This window comes from Homo sapiens, chromosome 2 (genome assembly GCF_000001405.40).
Source record: "Homo sapiens chromosome 2, GRCh38.p14 Primary Assembly".
In the NCBI taxonomy this organism is placed as follows: domain Eukaryota; kingdom Metazoa; phylum Chordata; class Mammalia; order Primates; family Hominidae; genus Homo; species Homo sapiens.
The window spans coordinates 2755444-2780972 of NC_000002.12; the positions used below are offsets into that span (position 1 = coordinate 2755444).

At 52.6% G+C, this 25529-nt stretch overlaps 1 long non-coding RNA gene across 2 annotated transcripts in view, besides 2 other annotated features; it reads right to left on the bottom strand.

Annotated features, from left to right (window-relative positions):
* LOC105373390 (uncharacterized) overlaps nt 1–25529 on the bottom strand; it is a 133531-nt gene that overhangs the window by 48103 nt on the left and 59899 nt on the right. The gene's annotated exons all lie outside the window — the stretch shown is intronic.
* Nucleotides 2570–2829: an enhancer, noted in NCBI's record as "active region_15220". NCBI's record gives its function as "activates an Ori minimal core promoter by ATAC-STARR-seq in GM12878 lymphoblastoid cells {active_cell/tissue: GM12878}" and the evidence as "EXISTENCE:reporter gene assay evidence [ECO:0000049][PMID:35858748]".
* Nucleotides 16254–16771: an enhancer, noted in NCBI's record as "NANOG-H3K4me1 hESC enhancer chr2:2775469-2775986 (GRCh37/hg19 assembly coordinates)". NCBI's record gives its function as "activates a minimal SCP1, AML or CMV promoter by ChIP-STARR-seq in naive H9 embryonic stem cells {active_cell/tissue: H9 hESC(naive)}" and the evidence as "EXISTENCE:reporter gene assay evidence [ECO:0000049][PMID:30033119]".

Below are 25529 nucleotides of genomic sequence, written 5' to 3' on the forward strand. Positions count from 1 at the left end.
TAATAGCCCCTTCTACAGCCAGCCTGACCTACAGAGTAAGTCCACACTGCCTGCCTCCACCATGCAGGAAGCTTTGGGGACTGATGTGTCTCCTGGGCCCTCATATGGATGGCAGCTCTCTGCAGGTCTCCAGCCTCATGCTGAATGTCTTCTGCGATGTGCTCCCTGCTTCTCCGTGCCTTTCACAAGCCCTTCAACATCTGCTATGTGAATGCTGGTATTGCCACCACACACAGGGGCCATCGAATGTTCCTTGCTCCCTGGAGACATCCTAGGGACATTCCACACCACCGCCCAGGGGCCCTGCAACACTGAGCCCTGTGGTCGGGGTAGCACTCCCAAGTTCATCCCCTTCCACCACACCGGGCTCTGTCTCCCTTGCATTCCTGCGCAAATACCTTCTCCATCCAGCATTCTGCTTTCTCCCCTACCCCTGCTGGTGGGACTGGCTGGGCCCTACAGCCCTCTTCCTCCTTCACCAGAGCTGGCTTTCCCCACCTGGATACACTGGGACCAGGAGGGGCCCTTGGGCAAGTCCTGGGGACTAGCGTTGCTGTGCAGTGTCAGGCCCCTGCATCACCCCAACCAGAGAGGCAGTGCTGGCTCCCATTCTTAAGGAGGTGTCCCTTCATTGGGCTCAGAGGGTGTTGGAGAACCAGGGAGCTCCAGATTTGCAAAAGTGCCAACCCCTTCACACATCAAAGCTGAGTCCTGCCACCCTCAGCTTCTGCCTGGGCACTGCCAGCCTGCCTGGACTGAGAGCCCAGCCTTGTTCAGATACAGCAACTCCTGTGAGTCAGACCTAGAACTGATCCTTTGGCTTCCTTGGTCCTCCCTAGAGGCTGAGTCCTTTTCCCTACCCCACCAGCCACACAGTTCTTCAGGTCAGCTCGGCCCCTGCCATGTTTCACAGTAGCCCAACAGGTGTCCGCGCTGCCCACCGTCTCCCCAACCCCTTCCCTGTCCCTCAACCACAGTCACTCCCAATAGGATCGCCTCTGACACTGAGCAAAGCGGTGGCCCTCATGCTGCAGCTACTTGTTTCTCCCACCTCCAGTGACAGGGTTCTCACTGCCTTCAAGGTCAGCCTGTGCATCCTCCAGCCACTGCGGGCCAATGTGTCCCAGGGCTGGGGGCCTAGAAAGAATGCCTGAGAGAGAGGTCAGTGTGGGAGGCCTCCATGAACCCCAGAAAAGTCAGGCAGGGAGGCAGGGTGGACAGAGGCATGAGCAGAGATACGGTCTCAGTGCAGACTCTGGCCCACCCTAGGGCAGCACTGAGGCCCCGGAGACCTTCAGAGTTAGAGCTGAGGCAAGGCCAGTGACCTGGGTCTTTACAACCCCACCACACCAGTCACTGGGACTGGGCTGCCCACAAGACAGGTCTCTGACCTGCCTGGGAAGGGGCTGAGAGCCGAGGGATTTCTGTGGGAAACTGGGTGGAGGGGCACAGGAATTCTGCCTTATTTTTGCAACATCTTAGAAATCTCAAACTAATTTCAAAATAAAAAGCTATTTTAAAAATGATGGCTTGGCAACCATTATAGATGTAGCAACATGGATGGGAACAGAGGGCTCCTGCATGTATCCCCAAGAAGGACCTACAGCCGAGGCAGCTTGGACCAGGGGCCTGGCATCCGCGCAGCCGTGGGCAGAGTTCAGAGCAGGCCCAAGTCTGCAGAGGCATCTTTATGCCCCCGGGGTGGGACCTCTCTCTGAGTCCATTCACACTCTTGCTTAGGTGTGGCTGACAGTAATTTCGGTCCAGCACTGCTCTTTCATATCCCAAAGTGAGATTAAGATAGGAGGCAAGGTTCCTGGGAGACCTAACGCATCTGCCTTTCCTCAAACAGGTACCACTCTCACTTCCTTTGGGGCTTGTCACCTGCAGCACCCTACCCTCCAGGAGGCCAAGGCTGCAGGTGTCGGATTCCAAACCACAGCAGACCTATTTCTCCAGAGAGCAGAAGAAGGAAAAATTGAAAGTTTCTGCCTCTTTAGGGTCATGTCTTTAAAGTTTCTCTCATGAAATATGCACAGCAAGCTTCACAACTAATGAGGCTACAGGCTCCCACCTTCCCTCATCAACATGGAAATGTTTAAGGACAGTGCTACTTCTGTGTGCTCCTCTCGGGCAATTCCATTCCTCTTCTTTCTGCTTCTTCCTCTCTGTGGACAAAACAGGGGAAGGACGAGAAGAGACACTCCGGTTGCCAAGAGCAGAGACTTAGAAGAGAAGGGCAGAATCTCATTGTGCTGCAAAATAGTTATATGACTCTGCACACCTTGGGAGCCTCAGTTTATCCTTTTGTAAGATGGGGGTGATGATGCACACCACACAGGGATGGTTATGAATGCCCACAAGTAGCAAGCATCCACACCAAAGTATTCAGAAAAAGATGGATTTATTGATGGCTGCAGCCAGAAAGGACACCAGAGTAGCTCACAGCACCGGAGAACCTGGATTCTAAATCCTCCCAGTTCCCCCACATGGGCCCGCAAACTCTTGGTTTCACTTCCCAGTAGGCTCCACGAGCAACTCTGACTCATTTCTCACACTTAGAGACAGAGAAAATAGAAATCCCCACTCCTGGCCTCCATTTATCAATCCCACAGAAGGGTTCTAGTGAGCCCTGTGTTATGGCTTGGCTCTGTGTCCCCATTCAAATTTTAATCTCCAAAGTTGGGAGAGAAACCTGGTAAGAGGTGAGTGGATCATGTGGGCAGATTTCTCCCTTGCTGTTTTTGTGATAGTGAGTTCTCATGAGATCTGATGGCTTCAAAGTGTGTAGCACTTCCCCCTTCATTCTCCCTCTCTCCTGTCATCATGTGAAGATGTCCTTGCTTCACCTTCACTTTCCACCACAATTGTAAGTTTCCTGAGGCCTTCCCAGCCATGCCTCCTGTACAGAATATGGAACTGTGAGTCGATTAAACGTCTTTTCTTCATAAATTACCCAGTCTCAGGTAGTTCTTTATACTAGAGTAAGAGTGGACTAATACACCCCATAAGGGTCACTGTCACTTAGAGGTGGAGCTGAGACTGGCAGATACGGATGAAAGTAGAGAGGGGCTGTTCTCCTAAGAGAAAGGGGATTGTAAATCTGCTGAATTAATCCCAAACTGGAACCGCCCTCCTCTGCTCCAATTTGGATTTGATGAACTTGGACACGTGAAACAGACCCAGGCTGTCGGGACATGTGTGGGACTGGTGGGCCTGGGGCGGGGTCAGGCTTTAGACAAGGTGGTTCCAGATGCTCAGGAGCACCCCCTACCATGGACAACAGAGCAGGGATGCACACCTGGGTGCAGGAGCATGTGCCAAACATGCAGGAGCAAAACATGCACAAGCAGAAAATGGTGCCAAGGCAAGCTAGGCCAGAGTGGATGAGATGATATAGGGGTGAGTCCAGGTGAAGCCCAGCACTGGCAGAAGAGAGCAGAAGGCACAGAGAGAAGAACGGCCTCGGGGCCAGACAGAGTTTAGGGACAGGTGGCCGGAGATGGGGGCAGCCATCCAGGCATCTCCTGGTCCTGATTTCTCTCTCTACCAGCCTCTGACCCAGATCTTAAAGAGGCACCAAAGGGGCTCCCACGCATGGTGCCAGGCACATGAGCGTGCTCAGAACGCCTGCAGTCACTTCCTCTGAGCACTCAGGAAGAGGGAGTGCACACAGGGACAGGGGATCGTGTGCATCTGTACTGACGACGGAATCCCAGCAGGACACCTTCACTCACTTCCCATAACCAACAGCAAATGCCATGCATCTTTGAAGGAGCAGGAGAAAAAGCTGCATGTTAACTCTGTCATTTTCCAAAATTACCAGACCAAAGATGAGCATGAAATATCTTTTCGCTGAGATAATAAAAGTGGACAAAAATAAATACCAAGCCTGTGTTATTACTATTTACCCATCTGACACTACATAAGCCTATTTTAAATGGCAATATTGATCAAATATCTATGACGATACCTAGCAAGTGATTCATTGCCTAAAAGGCTACACTGCTTGAATTTGATCCATTCTATCACATTGTATTAATTAGACATATACCATTAAATATTAAATCATCTCTGCCTACATAATTTGTAATGCATTGTTTGAAATTGTATTTGTAATATATCCACAGACTTATTTGCTGCAAAATAAAGTCTATCAAATTTCATCATATAGATAATATAGATGGTTGACTGTAAAAGAATGAGAAAATATGGCTGACTTTTCCATAAACTAAAAGGCACGCTTGCACTCATAAAGAAATAAATAGTTATTGCCCCCAATGTGAAATCAGTTTCTTTGAGATGCACTACATGTAGTCACTGGCCGGGAGGCCTGGACCATGTGATGTCTCATTTTCCTCACAATTACTATTATGTAGTTGTTGCCAGTGCAGACATTCCCTAGGAAAATCGCTTTATTTAATACTAGAATTACATCACATTAATAGTAAATTTAAATTTACAAACAACATATAATTTGCTTATTTCAGCATTGTACCTGTTTTTAAAACAGACAAAAGAGCTGGTCTTTTCAGCTACTGAATACTTGGATTTTTGTATGGTATCGGGGTAAGAGCCCTGAACTGGGGATTAAGAGAAATGCCTTTGTTTCTGTTTGTGTCTGTTTTATTGTCTGTGCACAATATTCACTAACTCACTATGTGACCTTGAATGAGTCTTTTCCTCTCTCTGAGACCTACTTTCCTCATCTGTAAAGGAGGTCAGCTTAGGTGGTCATGAAGTCCCCTTCTCATTATCACATCCTGTGTCTCTATTTGAGGAAAGGAATGGCTATTAAATGAGATTACAGAAAAAATAAAGTGACCATGGGACCCCACTGCTGTATCTGCAAAGCAAAAACATTTTGGATTTTGTTAATCAAAATGCTTCTCTCTTTGTCTGTCACTTGTCTTTGAAATCAATAAAACAGAGCTTCATGAAGGAAGCATTCACGCAATGCCCACCGTGGGATGGGAACCCCCTTACACACTGGCAATATGGCAAAGCAGACACAGACATTGAGCCTACATTGTAAGGAAACAAGAAAAATAAATGAGATGCATAGAATGTTTTTATTGCTGTGAAGCAAATTATCACAAACTCAGCAGCTGGAAAGAGCCGTCTTATGAACTCATTGTCCTGCCATCAGGAGTCTGGTCAAGCTGGCTGGGTTTTCTGCCTAGGCTTACATGAAACAGCATCCAGATGTCAGTCGGGCTGTGTTCTCATCTGGAGGCTTGACTGGGGAAGAATCCCCTTCCAAGCCCACTCAGGCTGTTGGCAGAATTTCCTTCTATATGGGGATAACTTGGTTATTCAAAGTTATTCATGATGTTATCAAAGATTCTGTTTTTCCAGCAAACTTGCTCCAGGTGGTCACTTCCCTAGAGTGAGTCTGCTGGGAAAATGCAGTCTTTCATGACATCATGCACTCACAAGTGTGGCACGACATCACAGCCAGCCCACTCTATAGGGTGGAAGCAAGACACAGGCCGTGTCACACCAGAGGGCTGGGTTACACCAGGATCTGAACACAGGAGGCAGGAGCCATGGGGACCCCCACAGAGTGCCCACCACAGACCAGGAAGGTGACACTACATCCAAGACTGGAAGGAGGTAGGGGCATCATTACAACTGTTGGGCATCTCCATGGCTAAATCAGCCAGTGCAGTGTCCCCAAGGGAGGAGCTGGTGCAGTTTGTCTGGGAAGAGCTGGGGCTGTTGCTGCTGAAGAGAGGCCAGAGGTCAGGGATAGGACCTAGGAGTGGGGGTGGCAGGGGCCTGTGGTGCAGGACTGGTGCACCTCAGGACCTCATTTTTTGACTTTACTGTAAATGAGGTGGGGCCCTTGGAGGGTGCCAAGCTGCAGGAAAGCACAGCTGCCTTGGCTTTCCAAGGGCCCCTCTGAGCTGCAGGAGGGCAGGGCCAGAGCAGAAAGGCCAGATGGGCACTGTACACACCATTCCACAGAGGATACTGGCCCTGACAGGGCAATGACCAGTGTGAGGTCAAGGGATGTCGTGCTCAGCTTGATTTGGGAGGTGGCACTGACGGGGTTTGCAGATGGATAAGAAGTGAGTTTCCCCAGTGTCAAGACCCTATAACCCTGCAGCCCTTCTCTGCCTCTGGGATGGGATCTAAAGAGACCCTTCTAATGGTGTCCTGCCGTATCCTGCTGTGGGCACGTGGCCCCAGTCCTTCACAGCCCCACACTGTGTCTCACCTTGGGGTTCCTGTTGCTGAATAACCCTCACCCCACCCCCTTACCCTGCATCCCGCAGGCCTCTGACAGGCGTGTGTCATTCATAGGGTGCTTCTCCCAGGATGCTGCCAGGCAGCTAGAACTGCCTGAGATGCTTTCCTCAACCCCTCTAGGTAGAAGTGAGTGTGTTCTTCCCACATTCACACCACACACTGTTTTTCACTTGACATGGTCATCTGATGGCTCGCCTTCCCTATTCCTAAGCCTCTGCCCCTAGTACAGTGCCTGACACAGACACTCACCAAATACGATTATGGAGTGCTAGGCAGAAGGGTCCACGTAGCCTCTTGATGGCCAACCCAGCTAACTCGAGAGCTGGGCTTTAGCGGGAAGCCCAGTGAAAGAAGGAAGGTTTTCAGGCTGCTGATTGGAGGCAGGAAGTGTTAGAGCTTGAACTTCAGTACCAACGCCGGAGGCCTGCTCAGAACTTGCAGAGGGCAGGGGAGCCCGGTGCAGTGAATCTCAGACAGCGAAGACAGCAGGAAGGACCTGGCCCCACTCAGCCCAATCTGGGAGCTTGCAGTGCTCCTGGCAGTTGCAAGAACAGAGACACAGGTAGAAGAGAGATCTGGGGAGAGACCAGACGGCCCCTGCCTAAGCCATGCCGTCAGGAAGATCAGAGCGAGCCCCTGGGCCCCCTGAGCAGAACTGCAGCTGGAGCCCAGGGTGAGCTCAGGGACACTCAGCCTCTCTGAGAGCCCCCAGCGAACGTGACGGGAGGCCCAGCGCCCGGGGTTTGAGGGCCCTGTCAGCTTCCATGTGTATAGTTCCTCGTTTTCTCAATAGGGGTTTCACCCTCTGGGTTGTGTGAGGGGATCTGGTTTCACCAAGCCAAGTAGCAGTGAACTCCAGAGCCTGCTTCCCCAAGCACCCCTGTCATACTCTGGGACCCTGGTCCAAGAGCCCCAGGAGGAGGGGTGCCCCAAAGCCCCAAAGGCAGATCAGGTGCCCCTGGGGTCCCAGCAGGCCTGGCCTGAGTGGGGACCTCTGGCGTGGCTGCCTCAGCCCCAGCAAAGCACAACGGCCACGCAGCTCACACCCGGTCACCAGCAGTCACCTACAGCCTCTCTGGGCCCCACCTGAGACCTTCCTGGAGAGGGGCACAGGCAGTATGCCCACCTCCTACCCAGATCCAGGGCTGGAGAGGGGCTCCCGGAAGGGTGAGGCCAGAGGTCCCCGTTCATCCTTCCGACAATCAAAGCTGGAGGTTCACTCTCAGAGGCTTTTCCTGTCTTCCGCTCCTCTACGAGAATGCCAATACCCGGGTGAGATGATGCATTAACCTATTTCTCATGGAGGCGTGGGTCATTCATCAGATCCCCTTTCCCCATGCGGGGGGCGCCCAGCTGCCAAGTACACGCTGCTCCCTTCAAGCCAGCCAAGGGCTGGCCGGGCTTGCAGCTTCAGTGGGCTCTGTGTGTCCGGGCATGTCTCCCACTCTGAGCCTCAGGGCCCTGAGGGGGCCCTCAAGGGGGTGGATCCCTGAGCGCAGAGCCCTCCTCCTCCCAGAAAAGCTCAGTTATGGGAAGGAAGGCACTCTTGCCTTTGCCTTTCCCAGAGACAAACCTCAGGCTGAGATTTTGAGTTTAATGCAAAATGAATGCCGGCCAGAGAAGAAGCTGCCAGCTGCTGTGTGGGGTTTTTCCACTCATGGCTTCTGGTCTTCACCTCTGAGAATCCTTTCCTTTAAACCAAAACCATGAGCACTAAGAAAATCAAATAAGCCGTGGCCTGGGACACGTGCAGTCAAGGGTGGCGCGGCCGCCTCCAGACCTCACCTTCTGAAAGGCTGGGCAGGCGGGGGTGGGAGCAGAAGGGCCCAACTCAGGCCGCTGCTGTGTCTGCGTACTGCGAGAGGAAGGGGATGCCCCTTGACCAGCATAGCCTGGGGGGTGCTAAGAACCAGACTCAGGGTCACCCTAGCAGAGGGTCCGGCTGGGTGCACCGCAGGTGACTCCACTGAGGGAAAGACACAGACGCATGGGGCTGACTCAGGAAGGAATGCGCAGCTGCACGGTAGGGGCGGCTGGGAAGCCGGGCATGTCTGCACCTGGAACAGGCTGGGACACCAGCCCCACAGACGCCTAAGACTCAGCTGCAGGTTCTCCGCGGTCACTCTCCTACCCCCCGCAGGGAGCCGCCTCCCACCTATGACTGCTCAGCCAGAGAAGGCTCTGGAACGACTCACAAGCCTCCTCACGCGTGGGGTCAGGGCCTCCCTCCAGCTGTGCTCAGGAGGGCTGCTGAGCCTGTGGCTGCTGGAACCCGCACTTACCAAGTGCCCTCCATTAGCCCTTCCCATTCTTGCCTGAAAGGAACCCTGAAAAGCGGCAAAGCATCAAATTTCCCCCACTCAGTTTCCGGGAGCTCATCCAATTCTCTACAGGAGGGTGGCCAGCTTTGGGATCAGGATACCAAGAGCCACTGTCCGGAGGCTCAGTCACCTGGGCTCACCCTGAGAGTTGGCATAGGCCCAGGCCCACCTAGCCTCTGGCCCTGCAAGGCGGAGGGATCCAGAACCAGGGCAGGAATGCTTCCAGCACACTCAGGGACCCATGGGCCACCAGGGTGGGCCCCGAGTCCCCACTCAATTGGCCAGGCCAGCAAGCATGGATCCACTCCAGAGGAGCAAGCATGGATCCACTCCAGAGGTTTTGGCTGTCAGCAGAGTGAGCCTTGGGAGCCACACAGGACTTGAGACCCCTTCAACCTGGAAGGCCTTGAAGAGCAGTGGGGGGCTCTCAGCCTTCCTGAGATTAACTGGGTCTCTCCTGACCTGTGAGCAGATAAAAATGAGAAATGGTCACTTCTGGCCTGTTCTGTCTATGGAAAGGACTTCTCACAAGAAAGGACTCAAAGTGACCTTTGGAATTCATTTTTCTCAAAATAAATAAAGCCAGTGAGGTCGCGCAGAGGAAAAAATTGCAGAGGGAATCTGGAAGGAGGGAAGGAGGGAGGGAGAATTCTTCCTGTTCTGACCTTGAGAACACTTTTGGAAATTCAGTCATGCACCACAATCTCTCTGTCAATAATGAGCTGCGTATATGATGGTGGTCCCATACGACGATAGCACCATATTTTTGCTGTAACGTTTCTATGTTTCGACACATGAACAGTGGCCACTGTATTACAGCTGCCTGCATTATTCAGTGTGGCACCATGTTGTTCAGACTTGTGGCCTAGGAGCCACAGGCTGCACCACGTGGCCCAGGCGTGCCGTGGGCTGAACCATCTGGGGGTGGGTAAGTGCACTCCGTGATGTCTGCACAATGAGGTGCATTTTGCAGAAGGCTTCCCCGCTGTTAGGAACCGCGTGCCTACGAGCACCAGAAAAGTGTCCCTTCTAACCAGCGGTCAGGGGCCGCTGGTGATAACCACACGAAGACATCCTCCCCGACATTCCTGTGGCCAAAGAGAAACGTAGAGGACAGAGCCTACTCCCAGGGTGACTCTGTGGCACTCAGGCACGTAGGACACAGGGAGAGAGAGGCTGGAACGTCCCTAGCAGAGGCCTGAGTTGGAGGTGACACCTGCACAGTCCTTCACACAAGCACCTTGCTGCTTCTGACAAGCCCGTGCCCCTCCACACACAGGGAACCCAGGTCAAACCTGCTAACGCGATACCACGTCCCATCCCAAGAGGCACTTCGGACCCTGCAAGGCTGCCAGGCAGCCCCAGCTGCCCCCCACGGTGCAGGCTGAGCCAGGCAGTCCTCTCCCTGATGGCCAGCTAGGGGTGGTTCCATGGTGGCCTGGTTCCCAGGCTGCCTCCGCTCCTCTCCTAGGGGACACTGCTGCCCTCTTCTCCCCACAGATACAGGAGGGGCCTATAGAGGGGCTGCCTGGGAGGGTCCCAAAGGCTTCCCTGGAGAACAAGCGCCTGTCACAGAAAGGAGCCACAGCAGGTGGGGAGGGCGGAACAATGAGCTTGCTCCCATGGGGTCCTGGGAGCTGTGCCGAAGACCCCGCAGGTGGCCAGGCCTGGGCAGCAGCTGCCATGGGCACCGGGCATGACCTTCCCTGGAGGGAACCTCGGTGGGCGCAGCTCCAGCTCCCCAAGTCTAATGGACGTCTGCACAGCCCGCCTTGAATTCCTGAGACCCCTCACACCTAAGGCATCTGGATCAAATTTCTCCACATCTCTCCAGTCTTGCCATCCCACTAAGGGACACCCCACCTCACCAGGTTCTCAGGTCAGAACTGGAGGGCAGCCCCTGTCCCCTCCTTCCCCATACCCGTGAGTCCCAGGAACTGCGAGAAGATTAGATCCCGTGAGGGAGGTCTCCCCAGTCTGCAGCTGCCCCGTGGGTGTTGTGAGCTGGCCCCGAAGCGCCACGGAGTCCCTCAGTCAATTCCTGGCATGTGAGCAGGAAAAGGGAGCACAGAGGAGGAGATGCGGGGGAGCCATTGCAAGGGCAGCCTCTAAAGCCTTTCTCGGTTGGAGTCCCTGATGTCACGATGAGTCGCTGGTGCCATTGGATAACAAGAGTTCCACGCTCAAGGACCGCCCCTCCAGGCCTGGTGGAATCAGCAGTCACGGCTGACTGCCCTGCGCAGTGAAGGGTGGGACCCACTGCCCAGCCACCCAGCATGGAGTGGGGCACTCTGCACACCTCCCGGCAACCTCCGGATGGTGTCACCACATGGCTGGCCCACTGCCACCAGGCCCTGCCCTTTGAGGACTCAGTAGCTTCTAGGGTTCAGTGTTGCTCAAACTTCAGGCGTGGCGGAAGTGCTCTCACAGCACCGTTAGGAAGCGGCCGCAATCATCTTAAGGCATGAGAGTGTCTGATGCTCCTGTGAGGAGACTCCTGAGTGCACACCGCCCCTTCCCCTCGCGACTGGATGCTCCCAGCTCCTCCCGGGCCTCCTGCTGAGTGGAGCTGCAACCCAAACCCAGATTCTTCTAGGAAGAAAATGATGTGATCCGTTGTTCTTGAGCTGCCATTTTCACTGTGTCCAGCCTATCTCACACTGTCCTTCCTCACCCACCGCACGGCAGCCCTGGAGATGTATCAGTGCTGGAGATGTATCAGTGATGGTTTCAACGAACTTCTTGAATTCCTTCCTCCAAATGGTCTTTTTTTCTAAGAAAGCCAGGGTGGTGCAGAGGAGGCAGTGTTTCCTCGCTGACATGTTGGCAGGACAGGAAGGGCTCATTGACTTAAAATACTTCCCATCTGGGAGCAAAAATCCACCCATAGCAAGCCCTCCGTTGAATTAAGGTTTTTGTTTTTCCTCCAAACCACTCCTTTACCAGTAAGAATAGGCCAGGGCAGCACAGGACGTATGGATCCCGCCTGCAGCCACCATGGTGGAGGCAGCCTGAGAAGAGAATGGGTCCCAGCGGGCCCTGCACATCCCAGATGGGCACCCCCCCACACCCCTGCTTACCCCCTGGGTGGACCCACTGCACTGCTGCTGAATTGCGGCCTCACTGCATGCAGCTCCCCAGTGTTTCAGCTTCACAGCTCCATGCTGCGTTCTGAGCTCCCTGCAGGGAGGGACCTGGTTTCCCTCACAACTCCTCCCCCCGACCCTGTTTCCCTCCATTCTGATTAAGGACAAGGGATCCCCATGCAGCCTGGACACCAGGACCAGCAGAAACCTGTGAGCGCCCAGGTCCTGTTGCCATGTCTGTGTGACCTGTGCTAATAAAGAGCAACTTGTGATCGGTGCCCCTTGGGATACCCACGGGATGCCCCACGCCCTCAGGGAGGCCACAGACCCTGCGGGGGTTCCTAAGCTCCGATGTCCAAGTGCTGACCAAGCCCAGCTCCTCTCCTGGGCTCCTCCTAGGCCCTCCTCCGGGAATGTCATTCCATCTCCTGCAGGGCCCAGGCCTCCCCTGGGCCAGGCTCCCACTCGACACCAGCCCCTGCTCCCCAAGACAGACCCCTAGACTGCACGGTCTCACCAGATGAGGTTTCTCGTTGGAACCCTGGGGTCCGGCTCTGCTGCTGCTGAGGCACCGTGCTTCTTCCTGGACCCTCAGGCAGAGGACAGTTCCCTGGTTGATGGCTTAGCTGCATACAGGACCTGATGCAAGTCCACTCTTGCTCTGAGCCTCAGTTTCCCCATGGGGGTGAGCACTGCTCTAGCAGGAATCAGGTGAGGACTAAAAGGGAAATGAGGAGCGCAGGACACTGTCCCTGGGCTGTGGGAGTATTGGATTCCTTGGCCTCGTGACCTGCCTGGCCAGGTCTCCCGGGAGCTCCAGCATCCAGACTCACCCCTGCAAGTCCCACACCAGTCCCACCACCCATGCCAGGCTGTCCATGAGGTGAGGCCCCACTTGCCAGGATGTGGCCCTCTCCGGCCTCCAGCAGGCTCTGCCTGGCTCACTCTGTGCCCTCCGCCCCTCCTCACCTGTGCCTGTCCTGCCAGCCCTGCCCGGTGGGTTCGTCCAGGCTGCTCTGCAGCCCAGGCTGTGTGTCTCTTCTTTTGGCTGCTTGGGGTCTGGCCCCCTCCCCTAGAAGCCGTTCTTTTCTCCATCCCTCTCCTCCCAGCGTCCTTCACCCCCATGCTGGATGGACACCTCCACTACAAGATGGTCCTGGATGCAGGCATCACCTGCCCACGCCTCTGTCTTCTCCTCCCTCAGTGCCACCTCTGCAGGGCATATGACTCCTCCTCTCGAGGGCTCTGAGCTCCCTACACCATATGACAGGAGAACCGTGATAAGCAGATGTTTGCGGAGTGGATGAATGGGAAAAATATTGTAATGGTGGAAACTTCCAATCTCTGGGAAGGGTGATGGGGTGGTATATTGGGTTTATTACAATCTTACCACATAGGCAGGTGACATTAAAGCCAATATGGAGGGCTGACCCTGGGGTCCTGGGCCTCCTCCAGATCCACATGTGGGAGGATTGGGAGGCACCCGTCTGTCCCAAGCAGGGTTCCCAGGTGTGGCTGCACATGGCATCACCAGGACAGCGTTACCCATGACCTTGCTGGGTGCTGCCACGACGCCCCCAAGGGCTCAGGACTGACTGTCACCTGGACAAGGGGACTGGGAGCTCTGCAGGGCCCAACACACAGTCAGACTCAAGAGCTACTGCCCCAAGGTGACCTCACCCAGGGTGTTCCCTGGCCATGACAGCAGACCCTGCGCTCCTCCCTTGGGGTCAGTGCTTCCTCCAGGTACCCCTCCCCGTCTAGGCCCCCTTTCCCTCCAGGTCCCTCCCCACCTCCAGAACCTCCCTCCCCTCCACACCTCCCCTCTCATTCCAGGCCCTTTTCCCTCCAGGTCCCTTCCCAACTTCAGAAAATTCCTTCCCTCCACACCTCCCCTCCCCCTCCAGGTCCCTTTCCCTCCAGGTCCCTCCCCACCTCCAGAACCTCCCTCCCCTCCACACCTTCCCTCCCCTCCAGGCCCCTTTCTTCCAGGTCCCTCCCCACCTCCAGAACCTCCCTCCCCTCCACACCTCCCCCTCTATCCAGGCCCCTTTCCCTCCAGGTCCCTCCCCACCTCCAGAACCTCCCTCCCCTCCACACCTCTCCCCCCATCCAGGCCCCTTTCCCTCCAGGTACCTCCCCACCTCCAGAACACCCCTCCCCTACAGTTCTCCTCTCTCCATCCAGGTCCCCTTTCTCTCCAGGTCCCCCTCCAGTTATGTCCCCCATCCTCCTATACTCCCCTCCCCTATTTACACTATCCCTACGCCTCCTTCCTCCTAGTCCCTCAGCTCCTAAGCCCCCTCTATATGCAGAGAAACCCCTACCTCGACTCACTGCCCCCACCACCATGGGAAAGAAGCTGGAAAAATGGCTGTAGTCAGGGGCCATGCAGAGCTGGAGGGAACACCAAGCGTGAGCCTGCAGGCCGATGGCGAGCGGTCAGGGTGGCAAGGAGGGTGACGGCATCCTTTCAGCCTGGCTTCTGCCTCCACCCCTCAGGGCACCCCAGTTTCTCAGATCCGCTCTGACAATGAATCCGCGCCTTCCGGTCTTGGCTCCCAGCCAGGTCCATGACACTGGGAATACAGCGCTCTAATTAACGGCCCTCATTAATCAGGGCTCAAACCGGGCAGAACTCAGATCCGGCCCGGAGGGGAGATGAGTGCTGGCCGCCCCAACAAAGGCCAGTTTCTGTCTCCGCCAAGCATCCCCGCTGAGCACGGAACCCTGGGCCGGCGAGACCTGGGACCTGATCGGAAGGCACAGGAGACACAGACCCAGGCCTGGGAGAAGCCGTGGAACCAGCACTCTAGGAAGGCTGGAAGGCTGCAGAACATCATTATTTTCTGTGTGCTTCATTGCCCAGAACCTCTCAGCAGTGATCCCACAGCCAACAGAATAAAACCCATGCTCCCAGCTAAATATGGAAAGCCTTGTGATCTGACCCAGGGTAACCCAAGCCCTCCTCCCATCCCTGGCAGCTCCACAAACTGTCTGGTGACAAGCCCAGATAGGCACTCTTGCCTGCCTGTGGGCGTCTAGTGATGCGCCTACAAGGCCAGCTGCACCTCCCCATGCCGGCCACATGTGACCCAGCCAGACCCGGTCATTCCAGAGGACACCACCCTGTGGCCGCTGCTCTAGCAAGGGCAGTGGCTCTGGGCACAGGCTGCCCGGCAGGTCTTCCCTCCTCTGCCCAGGTCAGGTACAGATTTTGTAGATTCAACCTTGTCCTTTGGAATTTGACTTCAGCCAGGCACAGAGGCATCCCCTGCTCCATGCAGCTCTGCACTGGGCCTCTGGCTCATGGGCCCTCCTCACCAGCACCCACTCCCCGCCCCGATCCTCACTGCACAGCACCCATGCGCCCTCCGATGCTCTGCTAGGCCAAGGCTTCTTTGTGCTCCTGGCGTCTGAGCACTTTCTCCATGGACTTGCACAGCAATGTATTAGAGCATCAGTATAGTGCATCTCACAGTCTGCCAGTTACTATTGTTATTCAAAACAATCCTTTATCTCTCCCAGATTTTAACTACCTTGAAGACAGGGCTTTAATGAGTCCCACTCATTCCACCAGTGTTCAGCACCATCTCCATAACAAACAGATACAGGTAAAATGTATCAGAAATGTCCTTATTTTTAAATAAGAAGTCAAGGATTGGATTTAGGACTACAGGACCCCATGCTCTGACTTATTTTTAGATTTTAGAAGAAAGGAGACACTTTTTTTTTTTTTTTTTTTTTTTTGAGACAGAGTCTCTTCTGTTACCCAGGCTGGAGATTCTCCTGCCTCAGCCTGAGACTACAGGCGTGCGCCACCACACCCAGCTAATTTTGTATTTTTAGTAAAGGCAGGGTTTCACCATGTTGCACAGGCTGGTCTTGAACTCCTGACCTCAAGTGATCCACTGGTCTCGGCCTCCTAAAATGCTGAGATTCTAGGTGTGAGCCACTGCACCTGGCCACACTTTTCAAGATAATTCGCCCTCACCTTAGCATCTGAATGCATCCATAACAGGTAAATCTTATAGGTAACCAAAGATATGACAGAATTATCCTTTTGACTTTGTTATCTTACAGATCATTTTCAAAGGCATGGTGATTGTTCCAAGCCAGCACAGCCAGGACATCTGTTGACAAAGGCACCTGACGTGGGGTGGAGCCCCTGTTCCAAAGGTCCCAGGCCTTGGGTGAAGCAGACAGTGGGATTCATTCAGCTCCCAAGGTTGCCACTGGGACAAAATTAATTTGGGCCTCAATATTAATTCATGCTCATCTGATGTATCTCTTTCTCCTACAAGCAGAGCACAGCCTACCATGCAGGGCAGTGAAGCCGCCCCTTATTTCCAGATGACGGGGCACTCGCTCTATCTCCAGCGGACATGGATTTACCCAACAGCATCAGCTGAACCTGCACTGAGCATAACAAAATGCAGGTAGCACGCAGCTCTTCACAGGATGGTTTCAACTGTGGAATCATGGAAAAGCATGAAACGTGCAGTCAGCTATCCATGTTGAGTCCTGGCTCCATCATTTGATTAGTTGAAAGACCTTGGTGGAAACTGAATCTCTTTGAATCTCACTTTCCCTATCTGTAAATTGGATTTAAAGACACCCATCCTACTTATGCCAGACTTGCCTCAAATGTCAAGATGACAATAGAGAAAGCGCAAAGAAGCCTCCCTCTGCAGTAAAGAGAAAATATCTACCCAAAGACCAGGCAGCATGTCACGGGTTCTCGGGAATGCCAGTCTCTTCTCCCACCTCATTCCCATGGAAACCTGTGTGAGGCTGGTTGCAGGCGGGAAAAGGACGACAGTGGAGCCTCAGACCTGGCAGAGTCCCTGGGTGAACGCAGGGCTGGGAAGATGTAAGAAGCCAGTTACCTCCAGAAGGCACGGCTCCTGGTAGGCTGACTGCTAAACTGGAAACAAGACTTCTGTGGGCAGAAGGGACAACTGGGAACCAAGAGAGCAGCATCCCGAGTCACAGAAAGAAACAAAGGAGTTGCAGGCACAGCGAGGACCAAGCAGGCGTCTTCTGGACGGTGCCAGCCCTGCCTCTGCCATAGCCCTGCCCACAACAAGCGTCCCCGCCCCTGGCAAGTATCCCTTCTCCACGGCAAGTGTCCCCACCCTACGCCATCTCACCGGAGCCAGATGACTCCCAGCAAAGGCTGCAGCGATGGGAGAGTCCAGGTACTGCACCTGCCATCATTAGTCTCTGCTTCCACGAGATGGTCCAGGAGGCCTCCCCTCCATGCCTATTTTTATGCTAATTCCAGGGTAATTGGCTTATGGTTGTCCCCACATCAAAAACAAAAACACCCTGGGCTGTCGATCACCTTTCGGTCTACTCTAAGCTCTGGGGCTACTACTTCTTTAATTGGGAAGAATGGGCGTTTTGCTTTTTTTTTTTTTTTAAGCTCCAAATGGTTGTTTTCATCCCCCAATCACTGGCTCAGGTATTCTCTAAACTTTATTTGCTGCCTCCAGCCAAACTTAGACCAGGGCTCTGAGTCAGAAATCTAGTCGACAATCTCTGTTTCCTTTATCCTGGCCCTCCTGTGACACAATAGAAATATATTTGGTCTTCGTCCCTGGTTCCTGGCATGGCGCTCTTAAGCGCTTTGAATTTTCTGAATGGTAGGAGTGACTTTGGTTATTCACAGAGAACCCCCTCTAACATACATGAGTTTAGGCTAATGTGGTGACGCACTGTGAGGGGGCCTTGGAGGGCTTCAGGAAGGGGGCTGATCACCAGACGAACAAGCATGTGCCCCTGATTAGAGGGTTAGAACTTTCACCCCAGCCCCATCCTCCCTGAAGGGAAGAAACACTACAGGTTGAGCTCAATCACCAACGGCCGATGATTGAATCCACCGTGTCTCAGCAATGAAACTCCATCTAAAAATACCGAAACAAGGAGGCTTGAGGGGCTTCTGGGTTGTTGAATGCAGGCAGACGCAGGGGCATTGAATTAGTCTGTTTTCACACTGCTGATAAAGACATACCTGAGACTGGGTAATTTATAAAGAAAACGAGGTTTAACGGACTCACAGTTCCACGTGGCTGGGGAGGCCTCATAATCATAACAGAAGGCAAAAGGCACGTCTACATGGTGGCAGCAACAGAGGATGAGAGCCAAGTGAAAGGGATTTCCCCTTATAAAACCATCAGGTCTCGCGAGACTTATTCACTACCATGAGAACAGTATGGGGAAAACCGCCCCCGTGACTCAACTATCTCCAGCTGGGTCCCTCCCACAACACGTGGGAATTACGGGAGCTACAATTCAAGATGAGATTTGGGTGGGGACACAGCCAGACCATATCAGAGGTGGAGCACCCAGTGAGGGCACGGAGCTCCTGCCCCCTCCCCAGACCTTGCCTCATGTGCTTCTCATCTGGCCATTCATTCCTGTCCTTTTGAATAAACCAGTAATCGTAAGCATAAAGCTTTCCTGAGTTCTGTGGCTTGCTCTCGAAAATTATCAAACTTGAGGAGGGTCGTAGGAATCCTCAAATATACAGCTGCTTGATCAGAAGTGCAGGTGGTCCCCAGGACTTGGAGCTGGCATCTGGAGTGAGAGCATTCTTGTGTGTCTGAGCCCCTAAGCCCGTGGGTTCAGCATTAACTCCAAGTGGTTAGCCTCAGAATTCACTGAATCACTGGACACGTGACTGGCATCAGAGCATCACTGCTGGAAAATGGGCCTCCACATCTGCTTCAGAGCCATGCCTCACCCACCCAGCCATTAGCACCTCCCCAGCGCCACCCAGGAAAGGCGCTCCTCATCCTCCTGCTAAGGGAGCGCCACACCACGCCACTGCCCTACTGGACTTACCCACATTCCTCTGCTTACAACAGCTTAGTGAGTCCCCATTACCTGAAACATGACGGTCAGAAAAACACTCTTTATAATTAACTGTGGGGCAGATTTTGCTGCTCTCACCCGGGGAGAATACAAGTGGAATGCTTTGTCACTTGACTGAGCAGGTCTCAGCTACCATAGGCTGTCTGGGGAAATGGAGGCTTCCATTCCACTCCCCATGCATGGCCAAACCACTGAAACCTTCCAGAAAGGCTCAAGTCACCATATGCTGAGATTTCCCATGATAAAATCCAAACCACGCATATTGCATACGTGTGCAGGGGGAAATGGCATGGAAAACCTTTGGAGAACGTGCCCTGAGCCTGCCTGCCTTGCCCCAGTGCATCCCAGCCTGGCAGGACGAGGGGAACGCATTGCTGAAATCATCCATCCTTCTCAAAGCTTGCTTTGGTTTCCCTTTTATTGTTCTTTGATGTCTTAAAAACAAGAACGAAAAAGACATCTCAAATGGAGAGGATCAGTTTCTCTTTTTTACTATAACCCTTACTGCTTCACATTGGACTAATATAGCCAAAATTAAAGCTGCATCTAAGCCTTTTATGACCTTGGGGTACATGACAGCACCAAAATTTGGCGACATTCTGGAAAGAACAATTCAAGTTGTTTTCCCCCAACACTTTGGCATTCCTCCAAGACATGATAAGGTGGATGGGGCTGGGGTGGTCAACCTTGCCCAGAAGTCCCCTGTGCTCGGGCTCTGGCCCCTGTCCAGCCTTGGTTCTCAGCTCCCTTGCCTTGGTCCCCTGGGACTCCTTCCCTGGCCATTCAGGCAGAGCTCATCCCAGCCTCTATGCCCCTCTGCTCTTCCTTGTGTTATATATTTAGGCCAACGCTCGTCAAATATGCCATTTATCTTTTTAATTGCAAGTTTTCACTCTTGGCTGTAGCTCCTTGAGGACAGAGACCACATTCTATTTATGTTAACAACAATAAACTTTAACTGGCTTTACCCTAAGTGAGATTTACCACTAAGCTTTTAATATGTATTCTCATTGAAACCTCACAGCCATCCTCATTTTACAGCTGAGGGGCCTAAGAAAGAATCCTTCCCAAGGGCAAACAGCCAGAAAGTGACTCAGCCAGAGCTTGAACTCAGGCACAATCTTGACCCTGGCAGCAGCAAGTGGAGCACCTGGCCTTGGTGCTGAATGACCATAGAGCAATGATGACCAAAATGCTGACGGCATTGGCACTCCATCATCACAGCTAATATCTGAGAAGACAGCTTTCTCACACACGTGGGCTGTTTGGCTCAGGCAATGTCATCATATATCATATTCTCAAATGGGACTTGTGGCATATTCACAAGTATCTTAGAGGTGATGACTAATGCAGGTCCAACCCTTGCAGCAAGCCTGGACATAGAGTAAGAGGTACCCAGAGAGCTGATCCCCAGACAGTGTATGGAATAGAAAGAGCTTGGGATTTGGAGTGAAGACAGACAAATAATAAAATAGAATTTAAAATCTGGCTCTGGAGGCCACAGAACAAACCATGCCTGCATTTCTGAGTAATGAAGAAGTGGTCATCCTCAATTAGGTTGATTCAACAAGCTTTCTTTAGTTACAGATGTGTAGGTGAAGTGGTGGAGGGGGATGCAGGCAAAGAATGACCACTTGTGATTTTTAAAGTTACTTTTTCATTGGCTTATTTTTTCATGCAAGCAAAATTACCTGTGTATGAAGTCAAGATGCATGGACCAGTCATGATTGTATGGAAGTTATACTGCATGGAAGCCATAATACCTGAATATTATGACACACAGACCACTCATGATGCACGGAACCCATGCTGCATGGTCATCATGTTGCATCAAACAGTCACAACACATGGAAACCATACTGCATGAAAAACATGAGGCACAGTAGCCATAATGCATAGAAGTCATGAGGCATGGAGGCCATAATGCATGGAAGACATGATGAGTGGAAGCAATAATGCATGGAAGACATGACGCATGGAAGCCATCATGCATGGAAGTCAAGAGGCATGGAAGCCATAATGCATGGAAGACATGATGAGTGGAAGCAATAATGCATGGAAGACATGATGCATGGAAGCCATCATGCATGAAAGCTATGATGCATGGAAGCCATCATGCATGGAAGTCAAGAGGCATGGAAGCCATAATGCATAAAAGTCGTGATGCATGGAAGCCATAATGCATGGGCCAGTCATGATGCACAGAAGTCATCATGCATGGAGGCCATAAATGCAAAGAGGTCATGATGCACGGGCCAGCCACAATGCATGGAAATTATGATGCATGGAAGCCATGATGCGTGGGTCAGCCATAACTCATAGAAGATATGATGCATGAAAGTCATGATGTATGGAGGCCATAATGCGTGAAGTCATGATGCATGGACCAGTCGATGCATGGAAGTCATGAGGAATGAATGTCATAATCTGGCCCTCCCTTTCTCTTCAGAGACACCTTACCGAGTCCCAAGTCTTTCATTGATCCTGGGCCCTTATATGTTATTGTCCAACAATACTGAATGGATGAGGTCCTTCAAACACATCATGTTTTATGTCTTTTAACCTTTTCACTTTTTCTCTGCCAGAATTTCCCTGCCCTCCTTCTATTACCTCTAATCTTGTCCACTTTCCAGGTTATGCTAGAACGTCAGAGTCATTCCCTGGTCTCCCCCAAGACCTATTCATTTGTCCTCCCAAAGCACCTTGAGCTTACTTCCTACCTTGTACCTAAAGGACTTGGGAACAGAGTTAGCTCTTCCCCTCTGTGTCACACTGCTGCAGAAGTGTGAGATTCCTGAGAACAAGACACAGCCTTCATGATCTGAAAACACATGCCTGTGTCTATCACATGGCAGGAAACCTATAAACGCATCAGAATAAAATAAATAAATGATCAAACAAACTCCTTACTTACCTCCTAGGCTCGTGGGTCAGGATCCAGGCACTGTGCTTAGTCTGCAATGTTTGCTAAACCCTCTTCTTTTTCCTTAATAATCATTGTTCTCTTAAACTACAAAAAGCTTTTTATCCCTCTTAAAATAGGCCTAGGTGATATCAAAGTGAACTCTGGTCTGAAAGATGCCCAGGAGACATGAATGTCACTTTGTTTCATGGTAGCTTTTTCTGAGAAAGAACATAGAAAAACTGGGCTCTGAGAATATCCAAGCATGCCCCCATTGGGGTATCCAGGTTTTGCTCCAGGAAGCATTGCAGGGGAAAAAAAGCATAAGAAAGACAGGGAGATGGGCAGGCTTTGAAGACCAGAATTATAAGCTCCAAGTGTGCATTTAAAGCTGAGTGAGGTGAGGCATATAAATGGAAACTAATTAATCTGAAGGAGTGATGTTCTGGTGGATATTCGAGTTTGCCTGGGTGCCATCTGGCCAAATGCTCACAAAAGAGCTAACTGTAAACAGAGAAACCCAGAAAAGCATCTTGGAGATGGGAAGCTGCCTGTGAGTACCGCCAACCAGGCCAGGACAGCCCAGAGCTTGCTGCTCCTGAGGCCTCACCCCCAGCTTGCCTTCAGCTACAAAGTAAAGTGCAGGGAATGGACCAGGAGACCTGGGGTCAGAGATCTGAGTTCAAGTCCTTGTGGGGCACCTGCTGACAAGGTGACCTGGAGAAAGTCACGCAGCCTCACTGAAGCTCCATCTTCTTCTTTGTCATCCACCACACAGAAACATTGTGAATTGCAGCCCCCTCTGTGACAGTGCTTGGAAGATTGCAAAGGGCTCTGCAAGCAGGAGCTACCATTATGTGAATCAAGTCCCTGCAAGAGTTCAGAAATGTTGCTGGTAAGAAAGCCATGTCTTCCAGCTCCAAAATCATTTACTCCTTGGTTCATGGACTCAGGCATCTGGTCATCTAATATTGAATGAGGATGTAAAGTGCTGACAGCAATGTGTGAAAACAGTGCCACTCAGGCCCACTGCTACTCTCCAGTGTGGGAGGAGGCAGCAGAGGCCACATGGAGACTGTGGACTTTAGGGCTGAGCAGGCCCCTGAGTGAACCACCTCTGCTGTTGCATGATGATTCCTGAAAAGGGGGAATCTCACCTGACCTTGCAGGTGCCCCATGCTCAGCACAGCACCTGATACAACACAGGGACCCTGAGGCCATGACATGCTGATCCTCCTGCCCTTCTTGTCTTAGGCCCTGGTAGCCAATGATCATCCAGAAAAACCCTGGGAAACACGGCATCAGCAATGGATCTGGAGACCCAGCGCTGAGAAGGCTCAATGACAAAAGCCTATGGAAACCACAAAGGTCTATATTTGGGGTCATGAGACAGAGGACAAACAGGGAGAAGAAATGGTTGTCGGAGACTCAGCACCCCTGCCATGGTCTGACGGGACCATCGTGACCCCTAGACACCAGAATCACTGAAGGCTATATAGGCCTGTATTAGCCTGTTCTCACACTGCTAATAAAGATTAATTATAATAATAATTAATAATAGTTTATAAAGAAAAAGAGGTCGAATGAACTCACAGTTCCAAATGGCTGGGGCAGCCTCACAATCATGGTGGTAGGTGAAGGAGGAGCAAAGGCACATCTTACATGGTGTCAGGCAAGAGAGAGCATGTGCAGAACTGCTCTTTATAAAACCATCAGATCGCATGAGACGTATTCACTATCATGAGAACAGCACAATAAAAGCCCATCTCCACTATTCGATGGCCTCGCACCAGGTCCCTCCAATGACACGTGGGAATTATAGGAGCTACAATTCAAGATGAAATTTGGGTGGGGGGCACAGCCAGACCATATCAAGCCCTCTCTGCCACAGGCTCTGTGCTCTGTGGGCTCCGTGGTGCAACCCCTCCCTGCCCACCTCACCCCTCTGGCCTCCATGTCTTAGTCCTGGTCATGGGTTCTTCTTTTCCACGGCCTCCTTACTTTATCCTGGAACGCTGCATTTCTCACCCTAAGAGCACTGGTCCTACAAGTGCTTGTAGTTTAAACTTTCCTTCTGGCTTATGGCTTCCAGACCTAGAGATCAGCCCCAAACTCTGCCCTAACATTTAAAGCAGACTGTTCATTCCTTGTTAGTCAGTTGGGTGTCCTGCAGGACTTTAAATTTACATCCAAAACCAAACTCATTACCTTCCTCCAAATTGGCTTCTCTCATTACCTTCCAGTTGTCTGAGCCCAAGCCTGGAGCCAGCACAAGCTCTGTGTCCTCCCTTCACATCCTCTTGTCCCCTGCATCCCTCACATGTTCCTTAAGTCCCATATCCAGCTGATTTTAACCCCTATGGATGTCTTGCCTCCTTTGTCTTCCTAAGCTCACCACCAATGGCCTGGTTTAGAAGCCCATCACACCCAGGCAGACTGCCTCGAGAGCCACATGGTCTTCCCACATCCAGTCCCACCTGCTTAGGTCCACTCTGCACACAGCAGCCAGGGTGGGCTGCTGACACCATAGTCTCTCCAGATCTCTTGACAACAAAGCACCAGCTTTGTTCACATCGTGCACAGGGTGAACCACAAGCTTCCTTCCTTGGATCACAGAACCCTGAAGTGGACTGCTTCCCCTCCGCTTGAGCCTCTGTTCCTGTCACGCCCACCCTGGTGCCCATTCCCTGGTCACCAGGAGCTTCAGGACCCCCTGCCTCCTGCTTGCACAGGCTCCTCTCCCTTGCTCACCACCCCTGACTCCCTTCCCACACTGGCTCATCCTTCCATACTTTCACACACTGCACCTTCTCAGGTGTCACACTCTGCACCCTCCAAGACTTCACACCCTGCACTCTCCCAGCCTTCACTCCCAGCACTTCCCCAGGCTTCACACCCTGCATCCTCCCAGAGTTCACACCCTGCATCCTCCCAGCCTTCATACCCTGAACCCTCGCCTACCTTCACACACTGCACCCTCCCAGGCTTCACACCCAACGCCCTCCCCTACCTTCACACCCTGCACCATCGCAGGCTTCACACCTTGCACCCTCCCAGGCTTCACACCCTGCACCCTCCCAAGCTTCACACTGTGCATCCTCCCAGGATTCACACTCTATACCCTACCAGGCTTCACACCCTGCACCTTCCCAGAGTTCACACCCAACACCTCCCCAGGCTTCACACCCTGTACCTCCCAGGTGGCTTCACACCCTGTACCTCCCAGGTTTTACACCCTGCACTCTCCCAGAGTTCACATCCTGCACCCTCCCAAGCTTCACACCCTGCACCTTCCCAGAGTTCATACCCAACACCTCTCCAGGCTTCACACCCTGCACTCTCCCAGACTTCACACCCTGCACCTTCCCAAAATTCACACCCCACACCATCCCAGAGTTCACACCCTGCACCCTCACAGGATTCACACTCTACACCCTCCCAGGCTTCACACCCTGCACCTTCCCAGGCTTCACAATCTACACCCTCTCAGGCTTCATTCCCTGCACCCTCCCAGGCTTCACACCCTGAACCCTCCCAAGCTTCACACCCTGCACCTTCCCTGAGTTCACTCCCAACACCTCCCCAGGCTTCACACCCTGCACCTCCCAGGCTTCACACCCTGCACCTCCCAGGCTTCACACCCTGCACCTCCCAGAGTTCACACCCTGTACCCTCCAAGGCTTCACACTCTACTCCCAGGATTCATGCCCTACACCCTCCCAGGTTTCACACCCTGCACCCTCACAGGATTCACACTCTACACCTCCCAGGCTTCACACCCTGCACCCTCACAGGATTCACACTCTACACCTCCCAGGCTTCACACCCTGCAACTGCCCAGAGATCACACTCACCGACTCTCAAGGCTAGACACCCTGCACACTCCCAGAGTTCATACACAGCACCCTCACAGGCTTCACACTCTACGACCTCCCAGGATTCATGCGCTACACACTCCAAGGTTTCACTCCCTGCAACCTCACAGGATTCACACTCTACACCCTCCCAGGATTCACACCCTGCACCTTCCCAGAGTTCACACCCACCACCTCCTCAGGATTCACACACTGCACGCTCCTAGGCTTC